This window comes from Homo sapiens, chromosome 15 (genome assembly GCF_000001405.40).
Source record: "Homo sapiens chromosome 15, GRCh38.p14 Primary Assembly".
NCBI lineage: Eukaryota > Metazoa > Chordata > Mammalia > Primates > Hominidae > Homo > Homo sapiens.
This window is the reverse complement of record NC_000015.10, coordinates 74,444,800-74,461,264: the sequence shown is the minus strand read 5'-3', so window position 1 is coordinate 74,461,264 and position 16,465 is coordinate 74,444,800. Positions and strand designations below refer to the sequence as shown.

The 16,465-nt window shown below is 48.2% G+C and overlaps 1 protein-coding gene across 7 annotated transcripts, besides 7 other annotated features; it reads left to right on the top strand.

Moving 5' to 3' along the window:
- Positions 18 to 864: an enhancer, noted in NCBI's record as "H3K27ac hESC enhancer chr15:74752742-74753588 (GRCh37/hg19 assembly coordinates)". NCBI's record gives its function as "activates a minimal SCP1, AML or CMV promoter by ChIP-STARR-seq in naive H9 embryonic stem cells {active_cell/tissue: H9 hESC(naive)}" and the evidence as "EXISTENCE:reporter gene assay evidence [ECO:0000049][PMID:30033119]".
- Positions 34 to 183: an enhancer, noted in NCBI's record as "active region_9778". NCBI's record gives its function as "activates an Ori minimal core promoter by ATAC-STARR-seq in GM12878 lymphoblastoid cells {active_cell/tissue: GM12878}" and the evidence as "EXISTENCE:reporter gene assay evidence [ECO:0000049][PMID:35858748]".
- On the top strand, positions 77 to 15,288 carry UBL7 (ubiquitin like 7). 7 transcript variants are annotated; one of them, NM_001286739.2, is made up of 12 exons: positions 105 to 157; positions 2,162 to 2,246; positions 2,369 to 2,581; positions 4,594 to 4,713; positions 8,887 to 8,969; positions 9,745 to 9,829; positions 10,406 to 10,463; positions 11,196 to 11,329; positions 11,590 to 11,639; positions 11,912 to 12,079; positions 12,665 to 12,787; positions 15,038 to 15,288. In NM_001286739.2, the coding sequence occupies exons 3-12, from the start codon at positions 2,398 to 2,400 to the stop codon at positions 15,173 to 15,175; spliced, it is 1,143 nt and encodes a 380-aa protein (NP_001273668.1). In that variant the 5' UTR covers positions 105 to 157; positions 2,162 to 2,246; positions 2,369 to 2,397; the 3' UTR covers positions 15,176 to 15,288. The 7 variants fall into 7 exon arrangements, with proteins under 7 accessions (NP_001273669.1, NP_001273668.1, NP_001273671.1 ...); NM_001286742.2 differs by lacking the exon at positions 2,162 to 2,246 and adding an exon at positions 487 to 597 and having other exon boundaries at positions 105 to 228; XM_011522124.3 differs by lacking the exon at positions 2,162 to 2,246 and adding an exon at positions 487 to 597 and having other exon boundaries at positions 105 to 376.
- Positions 474 to 563: an enhancer, noted in NCBI's record as "active region_9777". NCBI's record gives its function as "activates an Ori minimal core promoter by ATAC-STARR-seq in GM12878 lymphoblastoid cells {active_cell/tissue: GM12878}" and the evidence as "EXISTENCE:reporter gene assay evidence [ECO:0000049][PMID:35858748]".
- Positions 1,020 to 1,539: an enhancer, noted in NCBI's record as "H3K4me1 hESC enhancer chr15:74752067-74752586 (GRCh37/hg19 assembly coordinates)". NCBI's record gives its function as "activates a minimal SCP1, AML or CMV promoter by ChIP-STARR-seq in naive H9 embryonic stem cells {active_cell/tissue: H9 hESC(naive)}" and the evidence as "EXISTENCE:reporter gene assay evidence [ECO:0000049][PMID:30033119]".
- Positions 1,540 to 2,059: an enhancer, noted in NCBI's record as "H3K4me1 hESC enhancer chr15:74751547-74752066 (GRCh37/hg19 assembly coordinates)". NCBI's record gives its function as "activates a minimal SCP1, AML or CMV promoter by ChIP-STARR-seq in naive H9 embryonic stem cells {active_cell/tissue: H9 hESC(naive)}" and the evidence as "EXISTENCE:reporter gene assay evidence [ECO:0000049][PMID:30033119]".
- Positions 6,775 to 6,824: an enhancer, noted in NCBI's record as "active region_9776". NCBI's record gives its function as "activates an Ori minimal core promoter by ATAC-STARR-seq in GM12878 lymphoblastoid cells {active_cell/tissue: GM12878}" and the evidence as "EXISTENCE:reporter gene assay evidence [ECO:0000049][PMID:35858748]".
- Positions 11,278 to 11,778: an enhancer, noted in NCBI's record as "H3K27ac hESC enhancer chr15:74741828-74742328 (GRCh37/hg19 assembly coordinates)". NCBI's record gives its function as "activates a minimal SCP1, AML or CMV promoter by ChIP-STARR-seq in naive H9 embryonic stem cells {active_cell/tissue: H9 hESC(naive)}" and the evidence as "EXISTENCE:reporter gene assay evidence [ECO:0000049][PMID:30033119]".
- Positions 15,289 to 16,465: the final 1,177 nt, after the last annotated feature.

The following is a 16,465-nucleotide window of genomic DNA, read 5'->3' as shown; positions in this document are numbered from 1 at the left end:
AGCGCCTCTTGTAGACTGGCTGTTTATAAGGGGGCGGGGGGCCACAGCGGGAACTGCAACTCCCAGAATGCAGCGCGGAATTTCCGGTTTCCGGCGAGAGGGCCAGAGTGAGTGTTTACACCGGCGGCAGTGCGGCCGGGTTCCTTCCGCGGGACGGGTGAGGGCGCTGGGGCCCTGGGCAGCGCGGGCTCGATGTGTGTCAGCCAAGTAGCTGGTCCCACTGGAGCGGTGAGGTCGCCACCGGATAGTGTTCCTGCCCCATTACTAGCGATCTGTGACCTTGGGCCAGTGATTTTACTGAGTCTTGCTTCCCTCATCTTTAAAATGTGGCTAATGCCTGCCTTAGGGAACCGTTGTGAGGATTAAGTGAGACATGGTATATAAAACGACCTCCTTCTGGCATAAACTTGAGGTGGAAGATACCTTGAGGATGCTTGAAGGTCTGCTAGGCAGCTTCACAGCCTTTTCTTTCCTCTTCTCTATCAGAGGTCTCTTTGGAAGCAATAATGATGACTATAACAAGAACTTATCTTGCTTTGCAAGATTCTTCCGCCGTCAGAGTTTCTGATTTATTTTCTGGGGTTCCATGTATGCCAGGTATGGGGACAAGGATGAAGAAAACTTTAGTCTTTTGTTTTCAAGGGCATTCAAGAATTGGGGTGGAGGAGGGGGCAAGCAGATATTTGTAGCCCTTTTGTTCTGAGGGGATGTGGGAACAACAGAGGAAAGAGAGGGGACTGAGGTTATTGAATCTGTGTTGGTTTCGGTAGGAGTTTGCTAAAAGGCCAAAAAGGGAAGAGAAATTACATGCAGAGTTAGATGAGCAGAGGTGTAAAATAGGGGAGAGCTTTGTTATGAGTGTGTACTTACATGTTGTGGAGGTCCTTTGCAGGGGTAGGGCTCTGTTGGGGAATGAGGCTGGCAGGGAGTTTTGTAAGCCAGGCGATGAAGTTTAGACTTAATTTATATAGATGGTTTAGAGGTATTGGAAGAGGTCTTTTTCTGGGGGGCCGGGGTGGGGCAGGGAGGGACGGAGTCTCTGTCGCCCAAGCTGGAGTGCAGTGGCGCTATCTCGGCTCACTGCAACCTCCACCTCCCGGGTTCAAGCAATTCTCCTGCCTCAGCCTCTCAAGTAGCTGGGATTACAAGCGCCTGCCACCACGCCCTGCAAATTTTTTCTATTATAGTAGAGATGTAGTTTCACCATGTTGGCCAGGCTGGTTTCAAACACCTGATCTTAAGTGATCCGTCCTCCGCGGCCTCCCAAAGTGACAGGATTACAGGTGTGAGCCACCGCGTCTGGCTTTTTTTTTTTTTTTTTTTTTTTTTTTTGCGACAGAGTCTCTCTCTGTCACCCAGGCTGGAGTGCAGTGACGTGATCTTGGCTCACTGCAACCTCAGCCTTCCGAGTAGGTGGCACTACAGGTGCGCACTACCACGCCCAGCTAATTTTTGTATTTTTAGTAGTGACGGGTTTCACCATGTTGGCCAGGCTGGTCTTGAACTCTTGAGCTTAGGCAATCCGCCCGCCTAGGCCTCTCAAAGTGCTAGGGTTACAGGCATGAGCCACCGCGCCCAGCCCGACATTGGAAGAGTTCTAAGCAGAGAAGTGACTTGGTCAGATCTGTGTTTTAGAATGATGGGTTGTGGCCAGGCGCAGTCGCTCATGCCTGTAATCCCAGCACTTTGGGAGGCCGAGGCAGGTGGATCACGAGGTCAGGAGATCGAGACCATCCTGGCTAACACAGTGAAACCCCGTCTCTACTAAAAGTACAAAAAAAAAAAAAAATTAGCCTGGCGTCGTGGCGGGTGCCTGTAGTCCCTGCTACCTGGGAGGCTGAGGCAGGAAGGCAGGAGAATGGCGTGAACCTGGGAGGTGGAGCTTGCAGTGAGCCGAGATCGCGCCGCTGCACTCCAGCCTGGGCAACAGAGCGAGACTCCGTCTCAAAAAAAAAAAAAAAAATGATGGGTGTTGTTAGGTGGCAGCATAGATATTTGATAGGGAGAGGCAAGAGGCAGGGAACTTGTTATAAAGCTGTTCTACTGGTTCAAGCAACAGTTGAAGAAAATTGGAAAAAGGGGCATACAGAAGGGAGAGGGTTAGATGATCTCTCTCACAACATTCCTATTAGATTGGATGGCGTTTTTATGTCCACGTTAGGGATGAAGAAACTGAGGCCTAGAGAGCTGTCCATCACAGTATGAGTAGAGAGAGAACCCCAGATTCTAGTTCTGGCCTCCTGATGGTACGCCCTATGCCTCTTCAACAGTGTCACATTGAATTGTCTTTCATTCAACCCTTTGGTGGGTGGGGGTGGAGTAGAGTGGTGGTCTGTCTTTTAACCACTGAGGTTTTGTTCTTTTACAGGGAGAAAGAGAGAGCGCGAAAGAGAGAGGATGTCTCTCTCAGACTGGCACCTGGCGGTGAAGCTGGCTGACCAGCCACTTACTCCAAAGTCTATTCTTCGGTTGCCAGAGACAGAACTGGGAGAATACTCGCTAGGGGGCTATAGTATTTCATTTCTGAAGCAGCTTATTGCTGGCAAACTCCAGGAGTCTGTTCCAGACCCTGAGCTGATTGGTGAGTCTCTCTGGACTGGGGTTGGGCTGCTGCTCTGATCTCTTTTGGGGGAGGATACTTCTGGAATTACAAGAGTAAAGTAAGGGCTTGGGATTTGTTGCCTCATAATGTTAACACTCCAGGGAAGTGAATGTTGGGTAAATAGAAACACAAATCATATAATGAAACTATTGGTTGCCATTTCAGCCATGTATTATACTGAACTACCTTATCACCAGGTTCTTTATGACATTGTCTTGTTTTTTGTTTTTGTTTTTGTTTTGCTGTGTAGCCCAGGCTGGAGTGCAGTGGTGCGATCTCGGCTCACTGCAACCTCTGTCTCCTGGGTCCCAGTTCAAGCAATTCTGCCTCAGCCTCCCGAGTAGCTGGGATTACAGGCACACACCACCATGCCCAGCTAATTTTTGTATTTTTAGTAGAGACATGGGATTTCACCATGTTGGCCAGGCTGGTCTTGAACTCCTAACCTTGTGATTCTGCCCGCCTCAGCCTCCCAAAATGCTGGGATTACAGGCATGAGCCACCGCTCCTGGCCAACATTGTGAATTCTTTTTCTGAAAGAACAGAAGTTTGGGATGAGTTAGGAAAGGAGAAGTTGGTCAGGGGAGGCTCCTCAGTATATTTGAGGTAGGTCTTCAGGGATGATTAGAAGGATTTTTGCTTGGTTGACTGAGTAAAGGAAAGGCAGTAAAAAAGAAAAAGTGGCGTGGGCAGTCCAGGTGGAGGAGGGAGGAATTTAAATATAATTAAATTACACTGAAAAGGTAATTTTTAATAGCTAAAGGATCCAACTGGCAAGAAAGATGTTTTCAGTCATACCTGGATTGGGTTCATCCTATTTTGTTGTTTTTCCATTGATTTAAATTGGGCAGCCTCCACAATGTTAAACTCCAGAGTTTTTCTGTGGATAGATTCTGTGTGAATCCTTTTTTTTTTTTTTTTTTTTTGAGACGGAGTCTTGCTCTGTTGCCCAGGCTGGAGTGCAGTGGCGAGATCTCAGCTCATTGTAACCTCTGTCTCCCAGGTTCAGGCAATTTTCCTGCCTCAGCCTCCTGAATAACTGGGATTACAGGCCCGCACAACCACAACTGGCTAATTTTTGTGTGTATGTGTGTATATATATATATATTTCTTTTTTTTTGAGACAGAGTCTTGCTCTGTTGCCCAGGCTGGAGTGCAGTGGTGTGATCTTGGCTCACTGCAACCTCCGCCTCCTGGGTTCAAGCAATTCTCCTGCTTCAGCCTCCTGAGTAGCAGGGATTACAGGCGTCTGCCACCATGCCTGGCTAATTTTTGTATTTTTGGTAGAGACGAGGTTTACCATCTTGGCCAGGCTGGCCTTGAACTCCTGACCTCAGGTGATCCACCCACCTCGGCCTCCCAAAGTGTTGGGATTACAGGTGTGAGCCACCGTGCCCGGCCCTAATTTTCGCCATGGCCCAGGTTTCGCCATGTCGGCCAGGCTCCAAAAGTGCTGGGTTTATAGGTGTGAGCCACCACATCTGGCCAGATTCGATGTAAGTCCATTTTATGAGTTTATATTTGCAAATAGTTGTTGAAATGTATTTAATTGGCTAGGCATGGTGGTTCACGCCTGTCATCCCAGCACTTTGTGAGGCTAAGGCAGGAGGATCCCTTGAGCCCAGGAGTTAAGAGACTAGTCTAGGCAACATGGCAAAACCCCGTCTCTACAAAAAACTACAAAAATTAGCTGGGTGTGGTGGCATGTGCCTGTAGTCCCAGCTACTCAGGAGGCTAAGGTGGGAGAATTGCTTGACCCCAGGAGGTTGAGGCTGCAGTGAACCGTGATGGTGCCATTGCACTCAAGCCTGGGCAACAGAGTAAGACCCTGTTTTCCAAAAAAAAAAAAGTATTTGTTAAGTTATTGAATAAGAGTATCTTTTAAAACATGTATCATTCTCCAGCTATCTAATCAAAATAAGGTTCTCGGGACAAAAACCATGTAAATTTGTTTTGAGGAGCAAAATATAAGTGGACAGTTCTTTTTTTAGATCTGATCTACTGTGGTCGGAAGCTAAAAGATGACCAGACACTTGACTTCTATGGCATTCAACCTGGGTCCACTGTCCATGTTCTGCGAAAGTCCTGGCCTGAACCTGATCAGAAACCGGGTGAGTGAGGGGCAGCCCTTAGGCAGGCAGAGTTTCTGTAATATCCGCAAGGGAAGGATCTGTGTGTTCTTGAGGCACAAGCCTGGGTGGAACAAAGGGATGATTTACTGAGCTGATGATAAATGATATCTTTATTACTTATTGGATTAGACCATGCTGATAAACAGAGTCCAATTTTGACCTTCTTACTGCCGGCATCACTAATGGAAGATTTGTTTCTCCATTTTGTTTTTTGTTTTTTGGTTTTTTTGAGACAGTCTCACTCTGTTGCCCAGGCTGGAGTGCAGTGGCACAATCTTGATCTTGGATCACTGCAACCTCCGCCTCCCAGGTTCAAGTGATTCTCATGCCTCAGCCTCCCGAGTAGCTGGGATTACAGGCATGAGTCACCATGCCCAGCTAATTTTTTTTTTTTTTTTTTTTCTGAGACGGAGTCTCACTCTGTCTCACAGGCTGGAGTGCAGTGGTGTGATCTTGGCTCACTGCAAGCTCCGCCTCCCGGGTTCACACCATTCTCCTGCCTCAGCCTCCCAGGTAGCTGGGACTACAGGCGCCCACCACCAAGCCTGGCTAATTTTTTTTGTGTTTTTTAGTAGAGACGGGGTTTCACCGTGTTAGCCAGGATGGTCTCGATCTCCTGACCTTGTGATCTGCCCGCCTCGGCCTCCCAAAGTGCTGGGATTAAAGGCGTGAGCCACTGTACCCGGCCTTCAATTTTTGTATTTTTAGTAGAGACGGGGTGTCTCCATGTTGGTCAACCTGGTCTCGAACTCCTGACCTCAAGCCATCCACCCCACCTCAGCCTCCCAAAGTACAGGCACCATTCCTGGCTTGTTTCTCCACTTTCTAAGTTTGTCATCCACTGTTTCCTAATGGGACAGGGAGTTTGTGTCTACTTAAACTCCTTTAAGTTAACAGTTTATTTTTTAGTGATACAAAGTAAACTTTGTATCCTTTTGTTATTATCGTTGTTCTCATTAGAAAAAAGCTGGAAACTTTTGGCACTTTCCTAATGCTGCAGTTTATTCCCTTGTTAACAAATCTTCCTACAAACTGCCTCAGGTGGTGATTTGTTCAGTTAGCTAACTGCTCTTGCTATACTGGTATTTTCCTGAAGATATTCAAAGAGTATTTAAATAGCTCTTGGAGAAAATATACAAAGCCTCAGATGCCTTTTTGGTTTATAAATAGAAGGTGCTTGGAATTCATGATTTAAATTTTGCATGTGTGTTTTAAAAGCCTCCCTAAGAATAAAGCTAAGCTGTGTAAAAGAGATTAGCTTTGTTACACTGGCAGGTTGACATCTTTTTATAATGTTCATGATTGCTGTGACTAGTTATCAGTTTGAAATTTACCCCCCTTTCAGTTCTAACTGTAAAAGACAAAAATGTCTTTCATACCCTGATGGGAAGTGAGAAAGAGGAACAGAGTTCCTGACATCCAGAGGTTGGCCTGGCACTCACAGCCAGGCCCTGGAATCCTTTTGGGGATCATGAACAATTGTACAGATCCCCAGTAGCAGTCAAGGCCACTCTGAGACCACTATGGATTAAGACAAAAACAAGATCCCTATTATTGCTGAACAGAAACACAAAAACATGAGCATTATCCAAACCACAAAGGTGACCAAGTATCTTTCTATCTTGGCTGATGAGAGTAACAGCTGCTTCTTGGCCAATTACAGCTTCCACCTTGCTCTAGTTTTCCTTCCTTCTAGGTAAGAGTTATTAAGATACTCAATTATAAAATCACTCCCACTGCCTGAAAGCATCCTATCCAGAGTAAAACCTCACTTCTTTAAATTTTTCCCCAAATCAGCCAGACAAAACCAAAATCCTGTAAGAAGTCCTTTCTGGCCGGGTGCAGCAGCTTACGCCTGTAATCCCAGAACTTTGGGAGGCCGAGGTGGGCGGATCACCTGAGATTGGGAGTTCGAGACAAGCCTGACCAACATGGAGAAACCCCGTCTATACTAAAAATACAAAATTAGCCAGGCATGGTGGTGCCTGCTTGTAATCCCAGCTACTTGAGAGGCTGACGCAGGAGAATCGGTTGAACCCAAGAGGCAGAGGTTGCAATGAGCCGAGATCACGCCATTGTATTCCAGCCTGGGCAACAAGAGCGAAACTCTGTCTCAAAAAAAAAAAAGTCCTTTCTAATATCCTCTTACTGAGACAGCCCACGGTTTCCTGTGGTGTGCATTCTTCTCTCTGTACTGAGCAGTAAACCCAACTTGTTTAAATACAGATATGCCCCTCAGCTCTTTGGCTGGAGGGCATTAACAGAAGGAAAATAACATTTGTGGCTTCTGTGAGCCAGGTTTTTTCCCTTTTATACCTCATTTAATCATTACAGTGGCCCTGCAGGGTAGGTAACAGCATTAGCATCTTATGGAGGAAGAAAAGGGTTAGGGCATTTATTCAAGGTCAGCTACTTAGAAAGTGAATGCAAGAGCTGGGATATGGACCAGGGGTTTTCCTGGCTCAAGAGGAAAACCATTTCCACTGGGCTGGCTGCGTTCCACTTCTAAAGGATGAATTTAGCTCAGAGATCTTACAGTGACAGCCATGGCTCTTAGCTGAATAATGGCTTAAGATATTAAGAGTCCTTTTCCTCCCACCTTCTACCTGGAGGATTATTTTTGAAACAAATGACCTTTTTATTGGAAGGTTACAATAAACTTTTAGATCTGTAAAGAAACTGTTTTGTGACAGTGTTTTAGATATTTGCTCCTTGAGTGCTTTTCTTCACAAAGGAATCACATTTTGTGTTCTCCCACAGATTAGGGCCTATAGGAGAAGAACCCATTGTTGTCTGTCTTCCCACCTGGATCTCTTTGGTAGTCCTCCATGGCGGGTTACAAATCCCTTCAGGACGTCACCTTAACCTGCTGTTTGAGCTGGAATGTGTACCCCAAGCTCCAGCCACAAAGAATGACTTGCTGTTTGTTCAAAGCACCACATTCTTTTATTCTCCCATGCCTTTGCACATGTTCTCATTCAGGCTTGGAATACCTTCACCCCCCCAGTAAATATCAGCTCTCTCTTTGATACCCATTTCAAATGGTCTCCTCTGGGAGGCAGCTGTCTATCTTCACCCTCCCTCTCAGTGGTGCCTGTCTGCCTTTGTGTTCCTGGTACCCTAGCTGGGATCCACGTCTCTGTTGAGGTCTTCAACGTGGCATTTTGTAATTGTGTATTTGATGTAGTCTCATTTCTCCTCCTGCCCTAAGAGTTCCTTGATGGCAGGGGTTCTTATTTTTCATATTCTAGTTCCTTGCCTAAAGCCAGGCATGGAGTAAATGCTTAGTACATGTTTGTTGAATGAATAAATTAGGTAATTTACTTAAGATGACTGTTTTTCAAAAGACAGCCTCATGATCAGGACTGTCGATAAGGATGTGGCTGCCACCCTGAACCCCAGGGGTGCTATTCACCTTGCTTTGGGAGTGGTGCCCTGGAGTTGGGCAGTACACAGTCAGTACAGTCACAAGTAGTGGTCCTTCGTGAGGATAACCATACTTTAAAAAGTGTGACCCAGGGCTGGGCACGGTGGCTCACGCCTGTAATCCTAGCACTTTGGGAGGCCGAGGTGTGTGGATCACTTGAGGTCAGGAGTTTGAGACCAGCCTGACCAATATGGTGAAACCCCATCTCAACTAAAAATACAAAAATTATCCAGGAGTGGTGTTGCACACCTGTAATCCCAGCTACTCAGGAGGCTGAGGCACGAGAGTTGCTTCAACCAGGGAGGTGGAGGTTGCAGCGAGCCGAGATTGCGCCACTGCATTCTGGCTGGGCAAGAGGTGAGACTGTCTGAAAAACAAAGGCAAAAACACCAAAAAACAAATGTTATTAGTCTAGAATTCCTGCAGTGGTATGTTGATCAGAGCACCGTTTTTCATGTGGTAAGAGTCTCCTCTGCTGCAACTTGAATTTGTTTGTTTATCTGTGCAAGATGCTTACAAGTGAATGTAAAGATGCTTACTAGCAGTTTTCACATCCATGGCACAAATGGGTTTTTCTGAGCAGGCACTCACATTCTTAAGGGGTGATGAGGGAAGGGAATGCACAGACCAGGCTGCTCCTTGGCACATGCTGAAATGATGTTGCCATGTCTGTGGCAGAGACAGGACCTGCGCTATAGGGTAACTCTGAATGTCTTGTCCCCCAGAACCTGTGGACAAAGTGGCTGCCATGAGAGAGTTCCGGGTGTTGCACACTGCCCTGCACAGCAGCTCCTCTTACAGGGAGGCGGTGAGTGTGTGCTGCGGCCCCCAGCCAGGACTGTAGGAGAGGGTGTGAACGCTGGCTGGCGAGTGGTGTGGAGTGGGAGCTGGAAGCCCGTTGCCATGGCAACCAAGAGTTCCTTGGGGAGTTTTTGCCATGTCTGTGGGCCTCAGTAGAGCCCTGTCTTTCCCCAAAGAGCCTGTCTCAGTCAGGCGTTGTTGATTCCCTCTAATGATAATAATACAACCTGCCCGTATGGTGACAGCCAAAAGATCCTCATACTGTTTCTGCTGGGCCTCATTCTTCGACTTTGGCTGAACTGCCTGCTTACTGCCCCTTGACCTAGATGTCCTCACTGGGGAAGTGGGCTGATGTCTTTCTGTAGGAGAGTTGAGAGGCAAAATTAGTATAGCTGTGAACTTAGCGATATATACAAATATGAAATAGTAATTGTACAGAGATTGAAAAGGACTTTTGGATTGGAACCTAGAGAAACCTTTGTTACCGGGCTTGTAATGAGAGCTTTTATTTTGGAAGCACTAAACTGTAGGTGGGGAAAAGGAGCACAGAGATTTGAAGGTTTACTGTGGTCTTGCCTTTTTTTTTTTTAAATTGTTTGTTTCCCCTCCAGTAAGCTAAGATCTTAGAGCAAAAAGAGGTTCATCTGTTTCTGGGGCTATTGTTCCATTGTGGTGATGTACATGCAAGCACTTAGAGGGAGGAAGTCCTTTGGCAGAGTGTGGGCATTTGATGAGTACATTGAGCTGGTTGGAGTGCTCAGCCCCCGCCATTTCTCCTGCAGGTCTTTAAGATGCTCAGCAATAAGGAGTCTCTGGATCAGATCATTGTGGCCACCCCAGGCCTCAGCAGTGACCCTATTGCTCTTGGTAAGTGCAGGACTGAATTTGAGGAAATAGGAGTTGTCGGAAAAGGAGAAAACAGGAGAAGACAATTCCTCTAAAGAGACTTGGACTATCTTTTGAAGAATGACTGGTCTTGTGGGAAGAGGGAGAGTAATCAAGGTGTGTTTGATATCCCCAGCCCTTTAAGAGCTCTCAGTCCCACAGAGAGATAATGGCCTAACTAACATCGTAAATAAGGGTATGAGGATGCCAAATGAGGATAGCAGTTAGCCCACATCACAGCAATCAGGGAAGGCGTCCTGCACACCCTGAGTAAGGGAAGAACCCAGAGATACGGGAGAAAGAGACAGGTGTCTTGGTACCCAGTCTGTGATGTGACTAAAGTGCAGGGGAGGTGGAGAGCAGGGGACCATCCTCACTAGACCAAGATGAGGAGTACCTGAATTGTATTGCTTGGCGCTTTGCTTCCTCTACTTCTCATGAAGATTGGCTTGTTGTCCTGTGTCCCTGTTGAGCTGGTTGCTCTGAGACGCAAAGCCTCTTCTCCCTCCTGGATCTGGCTGATTTCCTTTCTTTGAGGTGAGCTCTGCTCTTTTTCAGGGGTTCTCCAGGACAAGGACCTCTTCTCTGTCTTCGCTGATCCCAATATGCTTGATACGTAAGTGTACCTGTCCTATTAGAGGGTACCTTCTCTCTCCTCGTGCTCAGGCCAGAAGCCTAATTGTCACCCTGCAGTCTGCTCTGGGAGCCCATCCATAGTCTGTCACCAAGTCTACCCCTTAGATACGTCAGGGGGTGAGAAAGAGCAAAGCCCAAGAGCAGGGCTTTTGTCAAGAGTGCTGGGAGGAAGCAGGATTCTGAGGGAAAGGGTCTTGTCTGCCAGGCTCAGTTTAGGTTTCGTGTGGTAGAAATTAGGGAGCTTTTCAAGGATTTTAAGCTGGCAAAAGGAGAAGCAGGTGTACAGATCCGTAAAGTGTCAAAGCTAAAAGGGACATGTCCTCATTTTGCAAGTGAAGAAAACAGCCCCACCCTGGGAAGAGAAGGGACCAGTCCAGGGTTGCCTGATGTAGTAGTGGTGCCTAGACCAGACACTCCTCATGTGCTCAGGCCAGAACCCTGAGCCTCCCAGGCTGCACCTTTCCCATCATGCCTTGCCTGTGGAGAGGGTGAAGAATCTGCAGCGGACCCCAGGAATTTGAAGGCCTTGCACCCGTTGCTGGGGGCAGATCAGCAGGAGGATAAAGCTTCCTGGTGGAAGATGCTAAAGACTGAGGAATTTGAGAGCAGGCACAGGTGGCTGCATTGTTGTGAGGGGGCACCCAGAACTCCTGTTATGGCTGAGGGTGCTCTTTTGGAGTCACCCTTGGGTTTCTTCCTGCTTCTATCCTAGGTTGGTGCCTGCTCACCCAGCCCTCGTCAATGCCATTGTCCTGGTTCTGCACTCCGTAGCAGGCAGTGCCCCAATGCCTGGGACTGACTCCTCTTCCCGGAGCATGCCCTCCAGCTCATACCGGGATATGCCAGGTGAGCGCCTGAAAAGTGTAATGTGGGCCCCTCAGGAGCCGGCAGTGGCCCAGGAATTTGCTTTACTCAGCAGCTATGTATAGCGTTGGCAGAGGGCGTTCCTTGGGAACTCTCGGTTTGAGTCAGGAAGTGCATCTGTCCTGTAATTTTCCGAGGGGAGAGATGAAAATATGAATTTGGAGAGTAACTTGAGCTGAGATTCTGGAGCTGCGCCTGTGCCTTTCTGTTCTTCCTCCTGAAATCTGTTCGTCCTCCTCCAGGTGGCTTCCTGTTTGAAGGGCTCTCAGATGATGAGGATGACTTTCACCCAGTAAGTGGCCTGCCTGCCTGCCTGACATGCTGACATGTGGGGGAGATGGTGCTGGGAATGAGCTGCATCCTGGGACCTGGCACTCCCAAGGCTGGGAGATGGACATACGCCATTGGGGGGCCAAGACCATGTCATACTATTTCTGCTTTTGGATTCCTTTCTGAACCTGGGAACTTAAGAGTTTCCCCAAGAACTATTGCTGGAGGTGGGTGGAGTTCATCTGGGAGTTTCACAGTACTGCTTCCCTGATTCTGAGTGTCTTCTTTCTCCAGAACACCAGGTCCACACCCTCTAGCAGTACTCCCAGCTCCCGCCCAGCCTCCCTGGGGTACAGTGGAGCTGCTGGGCCCCGGCCCATCACCCAGAGTGAGCTGGCCACCGCCTTGGCCCTGGCCAGCACTCCGGAGAGCAGCTCTCACACACCGACTCCTGGCACCCAGGTATGAAGACGGGGCCGGGAAGATCAAGGCTGGGCCCCCAAGGAACAAGCTCCCCAGCAGTAGAGTAGATTTGCCTTTGCTGACCCTGGTGCTAGATCTAGTTTAAGCTGAACCCTGGAGTCCTGGTGGGGATTTCTTACTGCAGCTTGAGTGACCTCCCCTTCACTTGCCTTGAGGACTCAGAAGTCTAGATTTTAACATGGTCCCGTGTAGTCCCCCCTATTAGTTCAGAAGACTCTTCCTGCACACAATATGCCCTTCCTCATCCCTGACAGGGAGCAGACATCACCAGCTTAAGCATTTCTGGGTGACAAGTCACTTCAGCTTTCAAGGCCATCTCTCCCAGTGCTGCAGTGCTGGGGTCCTAGGCTGGGACAAGGGGCTCAGTGCAGAAGAGAATGGAACCTTTCCTGCCCACATAGAGAGCTTCTAGTTACCTTTGTTTGGTTGTCTTATGGCAGGTCTTTGTTGGGAGGCAGAAGTTGGGTACCTCAGGAGTGCTGTGAGGTGATATGACAACAGCGAGCATCTGCTATAAGATTGAGATGGCGCTGAGGGTGGCACTGACCACTAATTTGTCTCTAGGGTCATTCCTCAGGGACCTCACCAATGTCCTCTGGTGTCCAGTCAGGGACGCCCATCACCAATGATCTCTTCAGCCAAGCCCTACAGCATGCCCTTCAGGCCTCTGGGCAGCCCAGCCTTCAGGTCAGTCTTCCCCACGTCTTGGTTTCCATGTGGCTTCCTTGTTATTTTGGATGCCCAGCCTTTGTTTTGCTCTCTGGCGGTCCTTCACACCTGGCATGCTTCATTCTAGGAACAGCTGGAGCATGGCAGTGGGACAGGTGCAGAGTGTTCCTAGCAAGGGCACACTCTCAGACCATACACAGTGGTCACTAGGCTTCTCCTGCCCCTAGTGACCATGGCCTGACTCCCTAGACCACCTGGCTTAGATAATCATGGCCATTTCATTCATTCATTCAGTGATCATTGACTGAGCATGTGTATACTAGGCCTGAGTCCAGATGCTGGGCTAGTGGCAAGCTGGTTCTCATCCCTGCCATGGAGGGGCACCAGGCAGGCACTGAGCTGGGGAGCAACAAGGCAAGAAACCCAGCTGCTTGAAGTAAGGGCCTAGGTCAGACAAAACTTTTCTGAGAGAGGGGTATTTAAGCTGATTGTCAGAAGAATTAGTTAGAAGTTAGCTAGCCAGGGAAGGGGGTTTGAGGTAGGAAGGGGCTGATTTCCAGGTGAAGACAGCTACCTGTTTGTGCACATGTGTGGAGGTATATGTGACATACTCAAAACTACAAGGCTAGGATGCAGTGTCCAGTGTAGAAGATCCGCAGATGGGGCCAGAGAAAGAGCAGGAGCCTACGAGAGGGGCTTGCATGCCAACCTGCGGAGATTAGACTTGATGACTTGATGTAGCAGTCACCAGGGATCCCTGGGAGGCATTGATTGATTGATTGATTGATTGAGACAGGGTGTCACTCTGTCACCCAGGCTGGAGTACAGTGGTGTGATCACAACTTACTGTAGCCTCAACTTCCTGGGCTCAGGTGATCCTCCCACCTCAGCCTCCCGGGTAGCTGGGACTACAGGTATGCACCACCATGCCTGGCTAATTTTTTGTATTTTTTGTAGAGATGGGGGGGTCTCCCTATGTTGCCCAGCCTGGTCTTGAACTCTTGGGCTCAAGCGATTCACCCACCTTAGCCTCCCAGAGTTCTGGGATTACAGGTGTGAGCCACCACACCTGGCCCATGGGAGGCTTTAAGGAGGAGAAAGGTCACCCTAGCAGCTAAGTGGAATACCTGAGGGGCCAGCATTGTAGTTCACAGCTCCATGCATGAGCAGTTTGGTTCACGTCTGTTTTCCTCTATTCCACATAGTAAGCCTATGGGTAGAGCATCATCCCTGGAACTTGTCTGGGGTCATAAGGCCATGAAGTCGTAACGATAGGGTTCAAGCCTGTGTGGTTTTCACTGTTCCATGTGGTCCTTGTAGACAGTGAGGGAACAGAAGCAGGATTCGTGAACAACTTGTCTTCTCCATTCTTGCATCTCCCCTGTTGCTAGATGCCTGTTTACTTTATTCCCTAGCTCAGAAGCTTTCACTGGTTCCACCTGGCCTGTAAAATGAATTCAAATTGATCTGTGTGCATTTTTTTTAAGCCCTCCATGTTCTCATCACTGCCTGCCTCTTTGACTTTGCTTTTCTTCCCCTTTGCATTGCCTTCTTCCCACATGTGAACACGTTGTTTTCCCTAAATTGTGCTCATCCCTGCTGTCATGAAATAGAGATATTAATGAAGCTATGAAAGTACTAGAAGAAAATATGGGTGAATTTCTTCAAATCCTTATAGTAGGGAAGGGCTTTCTTGGCTGAAACTCAGTATCCAGGAGCCATTAAATAAAAGTTATGCATTTTGGGTTTGTAAAAGCGAAAAATTTAAAACATCTCTTACAGTCCACAAATAGATATACCTACTATATACCACAAAAATTTAAGACATTTAAAAAAAGGTGAAAATTTCTGCGTGGCAAACCAAACCAAACAAAAAACCGAAGCAAAGTCCAAAGGCTAACAAACTGGGAAAAAAATCTGTAACACTCATCACATAAAGAGCAAAATCTTGCTGTTGTGTGTGTACACATAGCAAGAGAAAGAAAGTAATTTAGCCTCTTGGAATTCAGACAGTGAATAATTTGTACATTCTCTTTTGATCCTTATGCCAAGAATTTCCTTTTTTTATTGTAAAACTTTGGATTTGTTCTCTTAACCCTCAAGCCTATCTTTTAGTCTTCCTAGAAGCACCGTGTTCTGTGGAACTCAGCATCAGCAGCTTTGCTGAGGACTCCCCCATCTTCCTTTCCTTCCCCGGAAAGCACAGACCTAAGTGAGTCTTCACTGGATCCCAGCTAACAGCTTCTGCCCATTCCTATCTTTCCACAGAGCCAGTGGCAGCCCCAGCTGCAGCAGCTACGTGACATGGGCATCCAGGACGATGAGCTGAGCCTGCGGGCCCTGCAGGCCACCGGTGGGGACATCCAAGCAGCCCTGGAGCTCATCTTTGCTGGAGGAGCCCCATGAACTCCCTGCTTCCCCTGAACCCCCAGCAAGTTGCAGAGGCTACTGCCCTTGGGAGGCACTCATGAAGGTGCCTCCATCTCTCCCTTCCCCAATATACCTGATGGTCAACTCTCCTGCTTTGTCCAGTTCTTGACCTTTCTGGCTGATCTGAGTTGGTGGAGGCAGTGGGGCAAACAAGGTGTGCTGGTCTTGATGCTGTGGCATCAAAGCAGGGCTGGCCCCTAGTTCTGGGCCCTGGATGGAGGATGTTAGACCCTACATCATGGGATGCTGTGAGATACCCATGTTAACTTCTGGGAGAAGTTTCCAGCCGTAGCCCCCAGACTCTCTGGGGCTTTGGAGTTTGGGAGCCTCAGGATGTGCCGAAGTCTAGGCAGAGCTATCACCCAATCTTCAGGGTGGCTGCTGGATTACAGCTGTGCCCAGAAGAGGCTTATGCTTCCGAGATGTCCAGTCTATGGAGTGGCTGGGTGGACTTTCAGGGGAAGCACATGGAGGCAGCTTGCCTTCCACATTTCTCTCTCTCTCAATGGCTTCCACAGATTTCTTTGTCCACCCCACCAGTCTATTCTCACCAAGCATTTTTTGATGCTTGTTCTGTAATGATTCCAGAATCCAGGCCTCAGAGCTTCGCCAGGAGGTAGGGCCCTCCTTGTCCTGAAGGCATAAATACAAGAGCAGTTAAATAGCAATACTAAAAAACAACACCAACATGAACAGGGCTCAGCTTTAATATTGAAGAGAGGGCACCAACCCCCAAGCTGTTGCTCCATCTGCCTGTGCTCACTCATGTTCCCCTTGGCATGGCGTTCCCTGTGATGTTCCCTGCGGCATCGCAGACATGTCCAAGTTGAGAAAGTGGGTTTTAAATGCTTTGAATACTTCGTTGGGAGAACACTTCTTCCCCTCAGATGGTGTTTTGGTTCATTTGGGAATAACATGGGTGGAAAGGGGCTCAGAGATGTGCTCCTGCCCTCTGCCTTGGCAGGCGTTTCATCTCCACCATTCCCAGTCATGGTCATTTGGTTTCTGCTTGTCTCCTCCAGGAACAAAAGATTTACCACTTACAACCTATTCTGTCCTTTAACTATTTGCCAGGGCATTACCCCTTGGTCCCCTCTCTGCCCTAAGGAACCACTCGGAACAAGCCTGCTTCCTCTTCTACCTTAGCAGGGCTTTAGTTATTTACGGAATGCCATGGTGGGTCATTGACTTGCCCCTTTGACCTGTCATGGTTTTGGTTCCCAGCATATCCTGTTCGTTTTTCTGGATGACCTCCAGTGTATCAGT

Excerpts from the sequence above, each read along its gene's own strand:
- UBL7 (NM_001286742.2), top strand. The coding sequence starts at position 507 with ATGATGACTATAACAAGAACTTATCTTGCTTTGCAAGATTCTTCCGCC. Across the intron at positions 8,970-9,744 it reads GCTCCTCTTACAGGGAGGCG|GTCTTTAAGATGCTCAGCAA; the intron begins GTGAGTGTGTGC and ends TTTCTCCTGCAG. Across the intron at positions 12,080-12,664 it reads CACCGACTCCTGGCACCCAG|GGTCATTCCTCAGGGACCTC; the intron begins GTATGAAGACGG and ends ATTTGTCTCTAG.